Here is an 18,437-nt window from a genome sequence, read left to right on the forward strand (position 1 = left end):
GAACTAGAGAAAAAGAAAAAAAAATATGTGAAGGAGGAGCTGCATCCCATTCCTATTCTATCTCAGAAATAAGTTAAAGCAGTACCAGCTCAAGTTAACTTCCTTTGACAAAATGTGGGAAGCAACTATATTCTACCAATGCTTAAAACAAAAAATAAAAACAATTATTTTTTCAGGGTGTCTAAATTAAGGCATTGAACTGAGGAAGGTTGGATTACCTACAAGTACAATAAACAGTTCTTGTACTTGAGGAGTTAAAATTCTAGGCAGGGAGAAATGACATTAACATGGCACTAAGCAGAATGAAGGATAAATAAGGGGTAAAAGAGTAAGTGAAGCACTATTGCAAGGCAGCTCTTGAGTACATTAATAAATGAATTCTATAAACAGTAAATGCCAATGAATAATGACTCCAGGTTTGGGAAATTAAGAAAGTGTTTACAGGAAGTTTCAGTACCAAGGTTGATTGGATTGAAACCTTTGTCAGGACAGCAAGAGGACATTGAAAGAAGCAGAAGTACGGGAGCAAAAATTTAAAGACAGGAAAGACAACGTGTGGTCCTGGGACGATTAGTTCACCCTTACTAGTGTTTTGGGTTTAAAACGAGCAACACAAAGCTAGTAATAGCAATATCCAAATTCCAAAGAATCTCATGTTTATTCATGATCTTTTCACTATGAGTAGACTGTGTTGATCTGTTAGCGAGTTTATTGTTTCAAAGGAGGAAAACATATTGAGGTCAGTTACAGAAATGGAATATTTGAAGTCGATGAATTCAAGGAAATATATTCAGGTCACCAATACCTTGTGCAGAAATAGATAAAAAGAAGAGGGTAAAAGTGCAAATTATTTACATTCTTGAAACCACAAAAGTGAACTGAGCCAAGAACACAGCTGGAATGTGACCCAGTGGGGTAGGGAGTCCCACAGAGCCTGAACACAAGCCCACTTAGGCTTCCTTGGTTAAGACCTGAACTTCCCCATCTGATAATGGGAAAAAACACATCCAAAGGAAGTAAATAGTAATTACATGTGGAGCTAGTGGTTGTCTTTCTAGTTCCACCTTGGGATTGAGGTTACAAAAGATAACGTAGAGAGAAAACATTCTAAAGTTATTTATAATAGAGTTAAATTGAACTTAATTAAATGTTTGTTTGAGAGTTTATGGGCCCGAGTGGATTTCTCTCCCTGACCTTGGTCAAAGTCAGTCTATAATAAATCAAGTGTAGCATATCTACATGGTAGTGCATATTCCTTTTTTTTTTTTTTTTTTTTGAGATGGAGTCTCACTCTGTCAACCAGGCTGAAGTGCAGTGGCATGATCTTGGCTCACTGCAACTTCCACCTCCTGGGTTCAAGTGATTCTCCTGCCTCAGCCTCCTGAGTAGCTGGGACTACAGGCACTCGCCACCATGCCCGGCTAATTTTTGTATTTTTAGGAGAGATGGGGTTTCACCATATTGGCTAGGCTGGTCTTGAATTCCTGACCTCGTGATCTGCCTTCCTCGGCCTCCTAAAGTGCTGGGATTACAGGCATGAGCCACTGTGCCCAGCCAGCAGTGCATATTCTATTGGTATTGCTACCTGAAGGAAGCTGGGAAATGGCAGGCTTATTCTTCTCTCCTTAGGATTATAGCCACTCCAACAGCCAGTGCACCCATAGAGAGCAGTGGGAAAAGCACAAAAGTCAATAGGAATGGCTAATCATTTCATTTAGCCTTTACAACACCAAGAGATAAGAAGAATAGACTTTATTGTTCCTATTTTACAGATGAGAAAACTGAGCTCCAGAAAGATTAAACAGTTTTAATAGTGATATCTCTTTTTAAAATCAAAGCATATAGGTGCTTTGATGCAAAACACAATGATATGAGCATTTCATAAATTAACATTTTTTCTATCTAGTTGATGAATATTTTCTTCTCTCTTTTTTAAAGGGTTTAAACATTTTCTTTTGAGGTTTGTTTTTTACTATTTTTGAGACAAGGTCTTGCTCTGTCACCCAGGCTGGGGTGCAGTGACGGCCATCTTGGCTCACTGAAGCCTTGACTTTCTGGGCTCAAGCGATCCTCCCAACTTAGCCTTCAGAGTAGGTGGGACTGCAGGCTCATGCCACCACACCCAACTATTTTTTTTTTTTTAATTCATTTTATAGAGACAAGGTCTCACTGGGCTGGTTTCAAACCAGCTTAGATTCAAGCAATCCTCCCACTTTGGCCTACCAAAGTGCTGAGATTACGGCATGAGCTACTGCACCAAGTCCCATAAATATTTTCTATGACGCTTGCTAAGGCTTTTTTCCTGTATATGGTGTGTTTAGGACTTGAACAAAGAGGTTTAATTCATTTCTCAGAAAGCTCAACACTTTTTTCACTCCTTCAAGTAATGTTTCATTTTGCTTTGTTTGATCAATAGTTCTTTTCTCATTTCTAATTTAATAAAGCACAACTCTTCTTCCCAGACAATGGAAAGCCTGAATCAACAATAACAATTTTTGTGGGCAGATTCCATGGGGAGGGATACAAAGTATCAAACTGCTATGTGAAGAATTGAATTTTATAACATTCTGGGAATCTGTGAAGGAAAAAATAAAGCCAACACAGGGTTTCTTGGCCATAAATTGTAAACATAGTGTTCTATAGTTGGGTGCCATTCTAACGGAGGCAGCCCTGGTACAGATGACAGTGTTACTAACAACTCTAATGGAAAACTTGCATTTGAGTCTCATCTCTACTGCTTACTAGGCATGTGGTGATAGATGGGACACTACACCTTAGTTGCATTTTCAACAAAATGAAGATAATAATACCTCCTTGAGATATTGCTAAAACTATATATAACACAACATCGCAATATCCACAGAGTCATCATCTCCTGACCACCAGCACCATAATCAGCAACATCTCATAATAAATCACAGGAGTGGTTATTAGGGAAAAAAGAGAAAAAGCCTATATCTTAATAATAATATACTAGTCATTCTAGATATTTGATCCTCTTTTATTTCCATCCAATTTCCAATTGACTCATTTACATTTATTTCACAACACTAAAAAGGAACTATTGAATGTTTGTTGGAAAGGCCTTTGGATTGCAAGTTAGTGATAGCCATTTCATTGTAAAGCAGAAACACAAAGGTTTATAGAACCTATGTGTAGTTTATATAGTCTTTTATGCTTCCACTGTATAAAAGAGTGATCAATATAAAATAGAACCATAGAAGCAATGGACTGTAGATAGAAGTTTGGAAAGCAAATAACTTGAACAAATTGGTTTTGGTGAAAAATAATGTACTCTGATTATCCTAACCCCAAAGTACACATCATCCCTAGAGTGCCACATGACCATCCTGGGCATTTCTTTTAGAATAATATAAGTGCCTAAGAAGCCTCAGGAACTTGGAATAAAATCAATTAGTATTTGCTGTAATTTCCATAGCATGTGTGACCCTTGGGTTGAAGAGTTAAAAAGAAATGTATGAAGCCTAGCCAAGAAGTCTACAGTGGAGGAAAAAGTATTTGTCTCAATTTTACTCCAGAAATTCTGTTCTTGAATGGGAATGTAGACAAGAATGAAGAAATTCATTGAATGAAAATACTAATTTATATCCGTGGCACTTAGTCAACTAATTTGTTTCAGGCTTTTAATAGTTGAAAATGTTGGACCAGCATTTATTTACTTTTGTTTTTTAGAGATGAGGTCTCACTATGTTGCCCAGGCTGTGCTCAAACTCCTAGGCTCAAGTGATCCTTCTGCCTCAGCCTCCCAAAGTGCTGGGATTATAGGCGTGAGCCACTGGTGCCTGGCCTAGATCAGCATTTCTAGAGTCCAACAGGAGTGTTAGTGTTTTAAAGAAGAACGTACCTTAATGGTTTTCAAATTCTTCAGGCAGCAAGTCTGGAAATCATGATGCTTTTTGTGGAATCTCATGAAATACTAATATATTTAACTCATATTGTGGCAGACTGGCTCCATGCTCATTACTCTTGTTTCTTTTCCTGGCACATGTGACAGCTCCACTTTCCAGCCTCCCTTGACCTTCAGTTGGAGCCATTTGACTGGAGTATGACCAATGGAGTATATATAGAGGTGCTGCTGACTGGACACATGACCAGATGCACCATCTCTTTTCCCCTTCTGTGGCAACCACAGAGGCCACACATTACAGAGCATAACATGAAGGAAGCACAGAAGCCTGAGTCGCTGCTTGAAGGAGAAACTCCCAGGGGGCCAAATAACCAGAAAATTCTACCTTGGATTTTGCTTAAATAAGAAATAAATCTTTATTGTGTTAATCCACTGAAATTTGGAGACGATTTATTACAGCATTTAGTGTTACTTACTGTGATGGTTAATTTTAGGTGTCAATTTGCCTGGATTAAAGAATACCTAGAAACCTGGTAAGGCATTTGTATTAGTTCATTCTCACACTGCTATAAAGATACTATCTTAGACTGGGTAATTTATTAAGAAAGGAGGTTTAAATGACTCACAGTTCTGCATGGCTGGGAAGGCCTCGGGAAAGTTACAATCATGGCGAAAGGCGAAGGGGAAGCAGGCACGTCTTACATGGTGGCAGGAGAGAGGGAAGAAGGGGGAAGTACCAGAAATTTATCAAACAACCAGATCTCGTGAGAACTCACTCACTACCACGAGAACAACATGGGGAAAACCACCCCCATGATCCAGTCATCTCCCACCAGGTCCCTCCCTCGACATGTGAGGTTTACAATTTGGATTACAATTTGAGATGAGATTTGGGTGGGCACCTAGCCAAACCATATCAGCATTGTTTCAGGATGCATCTGTGAGGATGTTTCCAGAAGAGATTAGCATGTGAGTCTGGATGAACTAGGTGGGGAAAGTGGTCTGGCATCATCCAATCTGCTGGGGGACGCCCCAGAGAACAAAAGCAGAAAAAAGGTGAATGTATCAACCTATCTGCTGGAGCTAGGATACACTCTTCCTCTCTTGTCCTTCAACAACATATATATATCTTCTTGACTCTGTCTCTCTGAAGAACTCTGATACACTTACTCTAACTCAGTGTTGTCAAATATAGCTTGAATATAGGCCTTCTGATATTGTAAATAAAGTTTTATGGCAACACTACCATGCCTGTTTGTCTGTGTATTTTCTATGGCTGCTTTTGCACTACAGTGACAGGGTTGAGTAGTTGCAGCAGAGATCTCATGGCACACAAAGCCTACAGTGTGTACCATGTGGCCTTTTAGGAAAAAATTTGCTTATCTCTGCTCTAATTAATATACCTATGAATGGTAATTTAGCTCCAAATTTTATATTTGGTTGTTTAAAATTTGTTTACATATTAATAAAATGTTGACTTAAATTAATAATTAGCATATTCTTACAATTTGCAAAAAAGAAAACTCTGACCATAGCACATGGTGGCAAGGCTATGAAACAATAGGGACCCCTATAGGCCACTATGGGTAAATTACATATAAATTAAAACAACTTTGTAAAATAAGCAATATCTTAAATGGATAAGTTATGGCATAGTTATAAAATGGGATACTGTACAGGCTGGGCTCATTGGCTCATACCTGTAGTCTCAACAGTTTGGGAGGCCAAGATGGGAGGATCACTTGAGCCCAAGAGTTAGAGATCAGCCTGGGTAACATAGTGAGTCCCCATTTCTACAAAAAATAATAAAAAAAAAAATTAGCTGGGTTTGGTGGCATGCACCTGTGGTCCCAGCTACTTGGGTGTCTACAGTGGGAGGATCCCTTGAGCCTGGGAGATAGAGGCAGCAGTGAGCTGTGATTGTATCATTGCACTCCAACCTGGGTGGCAGAGGAAGACTGTCTCAAAAAAAAAAAAAAAAAGGAATACTAGAATACTATACAGTAGTTAAAAAAAATGACCCACAGTTATATGCATCAACAGAAATAAATCTCACAAATATATGTTGACAAAATACAGCAAGTTGAAGAAAATTTCATACAATATATTACCTTTTAGGTAAAGTTTTAAAAGATGCATAAAATTCTGCATAATTTCTTAGGGATACAGTCATGTTTGAAGATAATTGCAGGGTAATATCAATCACCAAATTTAAGATAGTGGTTCCCAACCAAAATGCCCATGAATGATAGACTGGATAAAGAAAATGTAGCACATAGACACCATGGAATACTATACAGTCATAAAAAAAGATGAGTTCATGCCCTTTGCAGGGACATGGATGAAGCTGGAAACAATCATTCTCAGCAAACTAACACAGGAACAGAAAACCAAACAACCGCATGTTCTCACTCATAAATGGGAGTTGAACAATGAGAACATATGGACACAGGGAGGGGAACATCACACACTAGGGCCTGTCAGGGGGTGGGGGGTAGGGGAGGGATAGTATTAGGAGAAATACCTAATGTAGATGACGGGTTGATGGGTGTAGCAAACCACCATGGCACGTGTATACCTATGTAACAAACCTGCACGTTCTGTACATGTATCCCAGAACTTAAAGTACAATTTAAAAAAAGAATAAATAAATAAATAAATAAATAAGACAGTGGTTTCTCCAAAGGGAGGGAGTTGTAACTGGGGGAGAGAATACAAGAGTTTCAAATGTAAAGGTTAAATTCTACTTCTGAAGCTGGGTAGTGGGTACATGTTATATTACCCCTGTGCTATTCTTTATACTTTTTTGATTGTTTTTAAATGTCACCATAAATTTTATTTTATTAAAAAATAACATTTAGTACAATATAAATTGCTTTAAGTTTATAAAACAGAAATGTTCAATTAAATCAAACACTTGCTTGGTGGATTTGTTATCATGAGTAGACCATGAGCTCATCCAACTTTTAAAAACGAAAATACAAATGGAATTATTTGCATTCAACGGAAGGTGCTGCTATTTGGACCTTGGATTAACTCAGTCTATAAATAACCTCGAAAAAATAATAAACAACAGTCTTGAGATCTTATGCATTGATTCATAGTAGAGGTTATTTTGTAAAAAGGCTAAGATAACTTTGCCATAACCTAACTGTATACTCATACTACAAAAATAATTCAGTTGGCTTAGGTTCAAAATCCAGCCACAGTGTCGCTATTGTGCTGAAAGGTCTTTGCTTGTTGTTATTTCTCACTACTTCTGAAATCCATTACAACCCTTTGGTTATCTTCAGTGCTGTTGGTTCTGTCTAATTATTCCCTAGAGATAGACTAGAAAACACAGATATGAAAGTAAGGCTTGAGATTTTAATGACAGCAGGTTGGAGGTGGGCAGTGAAAGTGACTGACAAGTAGATGATCTTTCTGCATAGACTCTATGCCAAATAAGAAGGTCTACAGTCATAAACATTTATATATTGACAACTTTGGATATAATAATTCTAATAATAGCTTTATAGAGTTTTACAGAAACAGTAATTAATAGATCTTGATATTTCACTTCCTGCTGATGTCTTAGACCTGATTTTAACAGAACCTAAAAATAGTTTCTAATCTGAATTCATTAAATACACTCACACTTAATAGGAAAAGAACACTGAATAACACATTCAAGTGTCAGGATTTAAAAACTCAAGCCAAAAACCATTTGGTTAATCAGGACTTCTCTATTTATTTGTTTATTTATTCTCTATTTCCTAATCATTTAATATCTGACCCACAACACAAATGCAATGCAAAGAAGGCTCCTTAAATGGATTTTTATATAGATCTCAGAATTGCTTCTAATGGCAAAAATGGAAGACAGAACAAATGCAAACCTCCTTTCCCTGCTGCTTCTAAAATTCTGTTTTGGAGAAAGCATGTATTTTAGTAAAGCATAGGAAAGAGCTTGATTTCTTCCTTTGTGACAAATAAAATGGAATAAATACACATTTCTTCCTAACACCTTTTATATTCAAAGGATAAGCAGACTTCTAGAGGAACAAAATGATGTTATTAAATGAAATGCAAATGTTGAAAGAGTATATGCATTATATATCTTAGTGCAAAGCCTTCCGATGCTTGTCAGATCAATTCTGCAACCTCATTACACACTTACACATTTAGGGGATTTCTGCTTTAAATATTCTCACAGTTTTCAAACATTTTCAGCACCTTAGCAGGAAACTCAGAGGCCACTGAACCTGCTAAGGATAAACTTAATACTGGTTGATGCCGGAGCCCAGGTGAAGTCCTGTGCTCCAGAGAGCCTTTAAGAAGATGGTAGTTTATTAAAGTTATCAGACCTGGGGGAAGATGACAGTAATTGGGGGAGAAGATAATTCTTGCAGTTTGAAAGGAACAATCATTTCTTATCTTTGATGTTACAAACTCAGAGGTAATAAGGCAAGATTCATCTTTGCCAAGTTGACCACCAACCCTGAGTCACTAAGACCATGAGCCCTGTTAAAGATAAAAACCAACAAGTAAGGAAATTGATGTTATTCAGACTATCAAAACTAGGAGAAAACCCCACAGTGTCTTGGCAAGGTAGTTTGCCTTACACATTTTTTTTTTTCAGACAGAGTCTCACTCTGTTGCCCAGGCTGGCAGTGGCATGATCTCAGCTTACTGCAACCTCCGCCTCCCAAGTTCAAGCGATTCTCCTGCCTCAGCCTCCTGCGTAGCTAGGACTACAGGCGCGTGCCACCAAGCCCAGCTAGTTTTTTATATTTTTAGTAGAGACAGGATTTCACTGCGTTAGCCAGGATGGCCTCAATCTCCTGACCTCATGATCATCCTGCCTCGGCCTCCCAAAGTGCTGGGATTACAGGTGTGAGCCACCATGCCCGGCCTGCCTTACACTTTCATAGGGAGGTGTAGACACGTTATAAATGGGGTGATTTACAGTTAGGTTATTTTGCAATTAGGAAAATTCTCTGTTAGCCGAAAAGAAAATGTTTATCTCTATGTCTAGCTATATTCAAGGGTACAGGTAGTTCTAATCTCAGATAATCATTCATGAGACAAACAAAAGAGAGGTGGAGGGTCTGTCTCTGGCCTTTGAGCAGGTTCAAGCCAAAGAAGAAAGGTCTATATTTGGCCTTGTCACAGGTGAACAAGGGAGGCCTCCATGCAAGTGTGATAGGAGTCATCAGAAAGTGGACAGCCAATCTGACCTAACTCTATGAGGGAGGATGGCTCTTTGCCATAAACCTTTTCCTGGAACAAAAAAGAGTTGGGGGGGATTTTGGATGACAAAATGTTGTGAGGATTTCTTAACTGTGCTGTTTTATGGGAGCACAGGGCTCAGGTCAAGTTCAACAATGTCAACTCATTTACTCATCTGCTTATCCATCTACACCAAATTGCCCACCTTACCTGGGAACAAAACTAGTTCTCTATTGTCACATTCAATCTTGTCTAATCAACCTTGTCTGATCAGCAGCAACATATCAGAATTACCAAAAGTCAATACTGAAAAGGCCAGACTTCCAATGTTAGTCAGCATTTATTTATACCAAGGTAAGCTCCTAAAATTTATACATAAATTAAATGCTTATAGAATAATTTGGAGGTCTCATGGAATAATGATTACAAGTCTGTGCTCTGCTGTCAGTCTTTCTCTGAATTTGCTCTTTGCAGAACTTTCTATGTCCCTGTTTCCTCATCTCTAAAGTGAGGATATTGCTCTCCCATCCTTACATGGTCATAATGAGGATTAATTTTGATAATGTGTCTAAAACGGCACTTGTCAAACTTTAATGTGTTTCAGAACCCCATTGGCATCTGGTTAAACTGAAGTTTCTGAGTCCACCTGTCTGGGGTGAGGCGTGAGGCTATGCATTTCTAGCAAGCTCCCAGTTGATGGCTATGCTGCTAATGTCCAGACCACACTTTGAATAGCAAGAATCTAAAGCCTCAATCACACTGCCTAGCACACAGCCAGTGGTTAATCAATAGGTGTTATTGGTATTAGATTATACACCTGTGCATAAAATGAGGCCAATAAAGCCTTCTGTAAGGTACATACACCCTGTGTCTTTGCCTTATGTGTGGCCATACATGTGATTACAAAGTAATGAGACATACAAACTGCATGTGAAAGTCACCCTGATTTTGCTGTCTCAAGTTCTGCTCAGTGTTACACTCTGCTAGAATTGAGTATACTTTCTCAGCTAACTCTTCAATGCCTCACTAATTAACTTTTAGTCTGAACATTACTCATTAAATTGTGAGCCCCTTAAACTGCTCTCTGAAAGTTCAGAAATGATCAAATCAATACACCTGGTGTTACAAAAGAAGATTGGTCAAGGAGGAACAAGAAAGGCTATCGAGTGCTGTGAAACTCACAGAACAGTGAGCCAGGCATTTCTCTTCTGAAACTCAGAGCTTACTTTCAAAGTGGGATGACTTAAAAGGTAAAGAGAGGCTCATAGTTCAACTGAGAGGATCTCTATGGATATAAGACAGAGGGACAACTTCAAATATCTAAACTGAAAAATTACATGACTGTGCATGGAGATGTGTTTTAAAAAGCCCTGTGGAATTCACATGCACTGCTGGTGGGAGTATAAATTGGTACAACCACTTTGGAAAACTCTTTGGTAGTACTAGGTTGGTACGAAAGTAATTGCGGTTTTTGCATTATGGGAATTTGCCATTTGATATTGGAATACATTCTTAAATAAATGTGGTTATATTATACATCATTTTAATGGGCATTTCTCTCTTTATACTTTTTTGCTAATGACTTATTACTTGCTGTTTAGTTTATGTTTATTTTAGACTATGGAAATGATGTTAGACAAAAAGCAAATTCAAGGGATTTTCTTATTTGAGTTCAAAATGGGTGGGTCATAAAGCAGCAGAGACAACTCGCAACATCAGCAACGCGTTTGGCCCAGGAACTGCTAACGAACGTACAGTACAGTGGTGGTTCAAAAAGCTTTGCAAAGGAGATGAGAGCCTTGAAGATGAGGAGCATAGTGGCTGACCATCGGAAATTTACAACAACCAATTGAGAGCAATCTTCAAAGCTGATCCTCTTACAATTACACGGGAAGTTGGCAAATAACTCAACATCGACCTTTCTAGGGCATTTGAAACAAATTAGAAAGGTGAAAAAGCTCAATAAGTGGATGCCTCATGAGCTGACCAAAAATTTAAAAAATCATCATTTTGAACTGTTGTTTTATTCTATGCAACAACAATGAATTTCTCAATCAGATTGTGATGTGCGATGAGTAGTGAATTGCATACGACAACCAGTGACGACCAGCTCAGTGGTTGGACCAAGAAGAAGCTCCAAAGCACTTCCCAAAACCAAACTTGCACCAAAAAAAAGGCCATGGTCACTGTTTGGTGGTCTGCTGCCGGTCTGATCCACTACAGCTTTCTGAATCCCGGCGAAACCATTACATCTGAGAAGTATGCTCAGCAAATTGATGAGATGCACCAAAAACTGCAGTGCCTGCAGCCAGCAATGGTCAACAGAAAGGGCCCAATTCTTCTCCAGGGCAATGCCCAACTGCAGGTCTCACAACAAATGCATCAAAAGTTTAACAAACTGGGCTACAAAGTTTTCCCTCATCCACTATATTCACCTGACCTCTCGCCAACCAGCTACCACTTCTTCCAGCATCTTGACAACTTTTTGCAGGGAAAATGCTTCCACTACCAGCAGGATGCAGAACATGCTTTCCAAGAGTTTGTCAAATCCCGAAGCATGGATTTTTATGCTACAGGAATAAAAGAAACTTATTTCTCATTGGCAAAAATGTGTTGGTTATAATGGTTCCTATTTTGATTAATAAAGATGTGTTTGAGGCTAGTTATAATGATTTAAAATCCACGGCCCAAAACCACAATTACTTTTGCACCAACCTAATATCTACTAAAGCTGAACATGCACATGCCCAGTGACCCACCTATGGAATCCTACTCCTAGGTATCCAACAGGAATGCATATGCATGTTCACCAAGGGACAGGTACAGAAATGCTTAAACAGTACTAGTCATGATAGCCCAGACTGGCCACAAGCCAAATGACCACTCATTAGAGAATGGTTAAGTGGCATATCATACAATAAAGTATTACACACCAATACAAACTGTTGAACTACAATGTATCACAATAATGTGGCTGAATCTCATGAATATGTTAGGCATAAGAAGCAAAACAAAAGAATGAAATTAAAAACAAACAAAATTAACCTATGTTCTGTTCAGATGGGGCCACCTTTGGGGTAGGGACTCGGAAGGGCTTCTGCAGAGCTGGTTATGTTCTATTACTTGGTCTGTTGCACTGGTTACAGAGTATGTAAACTCTGTGACAAGTCATTAAAGAGGATAAACAACTGTTTTTCTAAAGTCTCACAACACTTCTGACATCAAATATGTGGGTTTTCCACACTAAGCCATTCTCCAATTCTCTGCAAACCACTGAATGTCCTACGATTCAACCCTGACACTGTGAGTTAGCATAGACCCCACAGATTAAGGACTTAGTTTCATAAAACTATCCCCTACTTAAGTCCTAGGTTGTCACATGTACTTCTGAAAAGCCAGCTATAAATCAGGAGTTTCTACAATCCCCTCCTCATGTTTGATAACTTACTATAATGGCTAACAAACCCCAGGGAAATATTTACTTATGTTTACCAGTTTATTATAAAAGCTATTACAAAAGATACAGATGAACAGGGAGATGAAGAGGTATACAGGGAAAGGTATGAGGAAAGGCTATGGGGCTTTCATGCCTTCTCCAGGAGAGCCACCTCCCAGCACCTCCATGTCTTCAGAAACTCTCTAAACCCTATCATGTAGGGGTTTTACAAAAGTTCCATTATGTAGACATGATTAATTAGATCATTGGCCATTGGAGGTTGGAGTTCAGACTGAAAGTTCTAACCCTTTAATCACATGGTTTGTTCTTCTGTCAACCAGCCCCCATCCTGAATCTTTCTAGGGGCTTTCAGCCACCAGTCTTCCACTGACATACAAAAAGACACTTTGATCACTCCAGGAATTCCAAAAGGTTTAGAACTGCTTGTGTGTCAGAAACCAGGACTAATAACAAATACAGTGAGCCCATCATATCCGAGATTCAACCAACTGCAGATCAAAAACATTTGGAAAAAACAATAAAAAAAAAAAACAAATGTAAAAACCAGTATAGTATCACAACTGTTTGCACAGCATTTACATAGTATTAGGTGTTATTAGTAATCTATAGATGATATAAAGTATACGGGAAGATGTGCATAGGTTATATACAAATACTACATCATTTTATCTCAGGAACTTGAGCAACCTCCTATTGTGCTATCTGGGGTGAAGGGGGGTTCTTGAAGCTACCGAAGGACAACTACATTGTAATGAAAAATGCTCCTAGCACCCTTATCACTCAGGAAATTACAAGAGTTTCAGAAGCCCTGTGCCAGGAACTGTGAGCAGAGACCAAATACACATTTCTTATGATGTCATTGTCATCTCTCTGTCCACTTAGGATTTGTGCACTTTTCTCTATGTATGCCACTCATTAACAAAATTTACATTACAAAAAACCCTGTGACTATCTTAAAAGTGATATAGACTTCTGAGGTGCTTTGTTTTTCTATTCAGGAAGGTATTTGTGAGGAAGAAATGATTTGCTCTTGAATATTTAACCTATCTTTGTCAGATCTCAGGTTAGATTCACTCTTTAAAAGATGATGGTAAAAAGAAAATCCTCAGGAACATGCTGAGAAAGAAAAGCACCATGCTTCTTTTTAACCTTTTTTACCTTTCTTCTTTTTTGAGACAGGGTCTGGCTTTGTTGCCCAGGCTGGATTGCTGTGGTGCGATCTCAGCTTACCGCAGCCTCAAACTCCCTGGCTCAAGCGATGCCCCCATAACTTCAGCCTCCCAAGTAGCTGGGACTACGGGCATGTGCCACCACTCCTGGCTAATTTTTGTATTTTTTGTGGAGACATGGTTTTGTCATGTTGCCCAGGCTGGTCTTGAACTTCTGAGCTCAAGTGATCTGCCTGCATCGGCCTTCCAAAGTGCTGGGATTTCAGGCATGAGCCACTGCGCCTGACCAGCACCATGCTTCTTAAAGGAGGGCCACAGCCTTCCACTTTCCGTCTCCTTTCCACTAACCTGTTATGATCCTTGACCAAAGGCCAATTAAATAATCAGAGGAGACCCAAGAGATCCCTCTCTTCTCCCTCTGAAGAAAAACAAAGAGCAGAGCGGAACTGAGGATTTGGGATGTAAAATTAAAAGATCTAAGAAGAGGCCATGAGATTTATTTTTATTTTCTTTTAAATTTATTTTTATAGAGACAGGATCTCACTATGTTGACCAGGCTAGTCTTGAACCCCCAGGCTCAAGTGATCCTTTTGCCTTAGCCTCCTAAAGTGCTGGGATTATGGATGTGAGCCACGCTCTGCCAGAGATTTCTAAAAGGCTACAAAAACATTGGGTCTATTTGAGGGTGGGCCAAGGCATCCTGACCCATCCACCACTCAGCACATGGACAAAGATGAATTAAAAGAATGAGGGGAATAAAAGGGAGTCAGCTGTGAACTGGGAAATGAATCAGCCTTGGAAATAATTAGCTCACATACGCAGTGCCATTTCTAGGTGTTCCCATAGCTCTTTATTATTTCCCTCATTCCATTCTCCCTTAAACTTTATCTCCCAATCCAAATCAGTCTCATTTTTGTTGCAAGGTCTCCTGGTTGGGAATCTGAGCCTGGCCCCCGAAGAGCAAGAATTTTCATCTACATGCAGCTTGCTTGTGGAAAGAAATCTGTTAAATGAGCTTTTTCAGTGTCTACCACTGCTGTTGTTCATTTGTTTCCCTTCAGCTTTTCCCAGTTGGTGCTCATTCCCTTTAATTTTTTACACCAACTTGTACCTTGTTCTTGGAATCCACACTCTCTTATCCATACTGTCCAAATAGAAAAAGCTGTGAAAACTAAGTTTTTTCTTAAACTGAATGGAAAACCGGAACTCACATGAGGCTGTTTATAATGTCAGTTTATCTCACTTACTGTGAATTTTTGTGTTTTATTGCAGAGACTTAAATGTGTTTATTACAGGATGCTGCTTTAGATCCCCCTGGAGATGGAATGCAATATGCAATATATGCACTGTATTATCTTTCTACAATCCAAAAATTTCAAATTCCAAAGCACATCTGGGATTGCAGAGCTGTAATCAAGAATTTTCTTCTATAATGGAGATAAACTTGTTCAGCTGCTGGAGGGATTGGGGTTAAATTTAAGCAATAGTCTTATGGCCATAAGAGTGGTTAAACACAAATAATTTCTCCCAAAGACTGTGTTAGGTTGAGAGATCAAAATCAATCAATATTTAACCTAGAGTTCAAACTTAAAAGTCAATTTCTAGCTGTCTACAGGACTCTGACCCTCACACATCAGATCTTTTTCCTAGTGGTAAAGTAAGGGGGTGGATGGGGAATGCAACTCAACACACTGGGGAGAGGCGTCATCAGGTCAGAAAGAAGAGAAAATAAAATATTAGTCTTTTGGCAAATTTTAGGTTTTTTGTTTTTTTTTTAGCCGGATTTTCCTCTCGTTACCCAGGCTGGAGTGCAATGGCACAATCTCGGCTCACCGCAAACTCCGCCTCCTGGGCTCAAATGATTCTCCTGCCTCAGCCTCCCAAGTAGCTGGTATTACAGACGTGCGCCACCACACCCAGCTAATTTTGTATTTTTAGTAGAGACGGGGTTTCTCCATGTTTGTCAGGCTGGTCTCAAACTCCCAGCCTCAGGTAATCTGCCCACCTCAGCCTCCCAAAGTGCTGAGATTACAGGCGTGAGCCACCATGCCCAGCCTTGGCAAACTTGATGTGTCTGAAGCAGGTGATAAGAACTTAGTTCCAGGAATGGGTTTGGTGTGGATTTCATAAAAGACTGGGTTTTTCAGAGGGATGGTACCCATTTACCTCCTACTTAGAAGGCTCCTCATCAGCATCAGCTGGTTAGAGACAGCGAATAAAACACAACTTTCAGTTACAGTATTTTCTAGGGCAGCGTGTCTCAGACTTACCGGTACACACAAATCACCAGGGCATCTTGTTAAAATGCAGATTCCAGTTCCTTAGGTTGGGTTGGGATTGAGATCCAGCATTTCTAACCAGCTGCCAGGTCCTTCTGTTGCAAGGTCAGGGCTTTTTAAACTTCAACTTGCGTATCCTGCAGGGCTAGTTAAACACAGCCCCACCCTCAGAGGGTCTGATTTTGAAAGCCTGGAGTGGGCCTGAGAGCCTGTGAATTCCTCCCAAGTAATGCGGCTGATGCAGGACCACATTTTCAGTGTTTTCAAGAAAAAATTAAATAAAACAAGCATGCCATTCTTTCAGGAGTATTATTTATTTTTATTTTTATTTATATATAATTATTGTACATATTTCAGATCTATCATTAATATCTGAATATTCATTTTTGAATAGAGGTAAGCATCTAGATCATTTAGATATAACCTGGTGTGAAAAATCTCCTTGTAACCTTTATATGTTAAAATGCTATCAGTAAGTTGGAGTATAAATATATATTCATTATTGTAGGAGTTTAAAGTGCTACTATAATTAGTGATTGTGAAAGCTGAGGATTTTACCTACAAAATCAATAATTTAAAGCTTTCAAGTAGTTAAGTCAAGCAAGATCAGCAGCTAATAGAAATCTAGTAAAAGAGAATGTCTTGGCCAGGTGTGGTGGCATGCACCTGTAGCCCCAGCTACTCAGAAGGCTGAAGCAGGAGGATTACGTGAGCCCAGGAGTTCCAGGTTGCACTGAGCTGTGATGGTGCCACTGCACTCCAGCCCGGGCAATGGGGCAAGACCCTGTCTCTACAAAATAAAGTTACAAAGAGAGAATGCCTCTACTAGATAACTTTAGGAACACTCCATCCTTTTTGAACCAACAAATGTTTACACAATTTTAAATAAGAATGGAAGGCAGAATAAAAGGATTATATGTAAAACATATTTGAAATCTTTGCAGAATTATTAGATTATTATTCATGACATTAAAATAACCTTTAAAAACTGTATTTTTATTTCATGATTAAATTCCATTCCACCTATGAGTTTTAAAAGAGAACAGTCTACCCCGGAAGTTCCTTCTAAGTTGGTGATAGTTGGCTTCAGTCTGATATTTATTTAAACACTAGGCCAGTTAGCATTCAACCGAAATGAGTTTTGGCACACTTCCAGCACGAATCTTAAGAAATGAATCAGCGGAGCTCCCAAGATCATGGGTCAGACAATGCCCTTCCACCCCACTGGAGAAGCCCCAACCTCCCTGCCCAGCTCCCCTGCTTGGCACTCTTGTGGAATCTTGTGGAAAGTTAAACCAGTCTGTTGATTTCCTTTCTTGTGAAAGTTGGGTGAGGTTAGGGTTGCCAGATTAAATACAGGATGTTCAGTTAAATTTGAATTTCAGATTAACAATACATTATTTTTCAGCGTCTGTTCCAAATATACGGGACAAAAGAAGGCTTCCCCTCCGTGTGCCTTCCAAAGGTTTGCTGAAAATTAGCTGGCAATAGGCAGATTAGTAGGAGAATAAGACATACAAACTTATTTAACATGCATAAGCACAGGGGAATTCTGGAGGATGATTACTCAAATAACCCAGTGAGGTCCAGATGCATATATGCCCGTCTTCATAGGGGAAGAGGAGATGGGGATATAGGAGTGAATAATTTTTAGTGCGGAATGAATGGACCTGGGTGGCAGGCAGTATCTTGTAAATGATTCTCTTTGGAAATTGATTGGGACCTGAGAACAAACAATGGTTTGGGACAAAGTTTGCCTGGGCTCTAGACATGGTGTTTAATGTTCAGTCTCTTTCTCTGTGATATGAGTTTATCTCTTCTCTGGTTGATGAATTTCAGGGAAGAAATCAAAGGCAATTGTGCAATTTTTTGGTATGTCTGGTTTCTAGGCAGATAAGGGAATTTCAGAGAATAACCTCATCTTGTGCTTTGTGAGAAGTGTTGAGAGACAGGATCGGGGTGGTTGGTGAGATCAGAGAGATATTGAGGCTGCTTCCTTTGTTCTGCACGCCAAAGAGCCATATTTAGGGGTGTTGTTTTATGAACCCCAACATATCCAACATGTGGAACATTCCTGTATTTTTATTTGCTATATTTGGCAACATTAGGCGAGGTACCAGCTGCAGGAAAATTATCATAAGATATTGTCTCTGAAACTCAACATTTCTTCCCTTGTAACATCAAATGGGAGACATGAAGAGGAGAATGATAGTTTCTTTAAATTTATAAGGTATGGTATAAAAGCAATTTGCCAAGGGCTCCATTTTTTAGTGTAAATTTCATCTAGTCTTTAAAACACTGGTTAAAAACTGAGGAAATCTTAGTTCCAGTCCCACTTCCACCATAGACTGGGTTTGACACGTTGAGATAATTATTGATCTTGTTTCATGGCTCTAAGACACCAATGCTTATCAAATAAACCATTTAAAAAATGCCACCAGGAGAGAAAAAAT

The sequence above is a fragment of the Homo sapiens genome, chromosome 20 (genome assembly GCF_000001405.40).
Source record: "Homo sapiens chromosome 20, GRCh38.p14 Primary Assembly".
NCBI classification, from domain to species: Eukaryota; Metazoa; Chordata; class Mammalia; order Primates; family Hominidae; genus Homo; species Homo sapiens.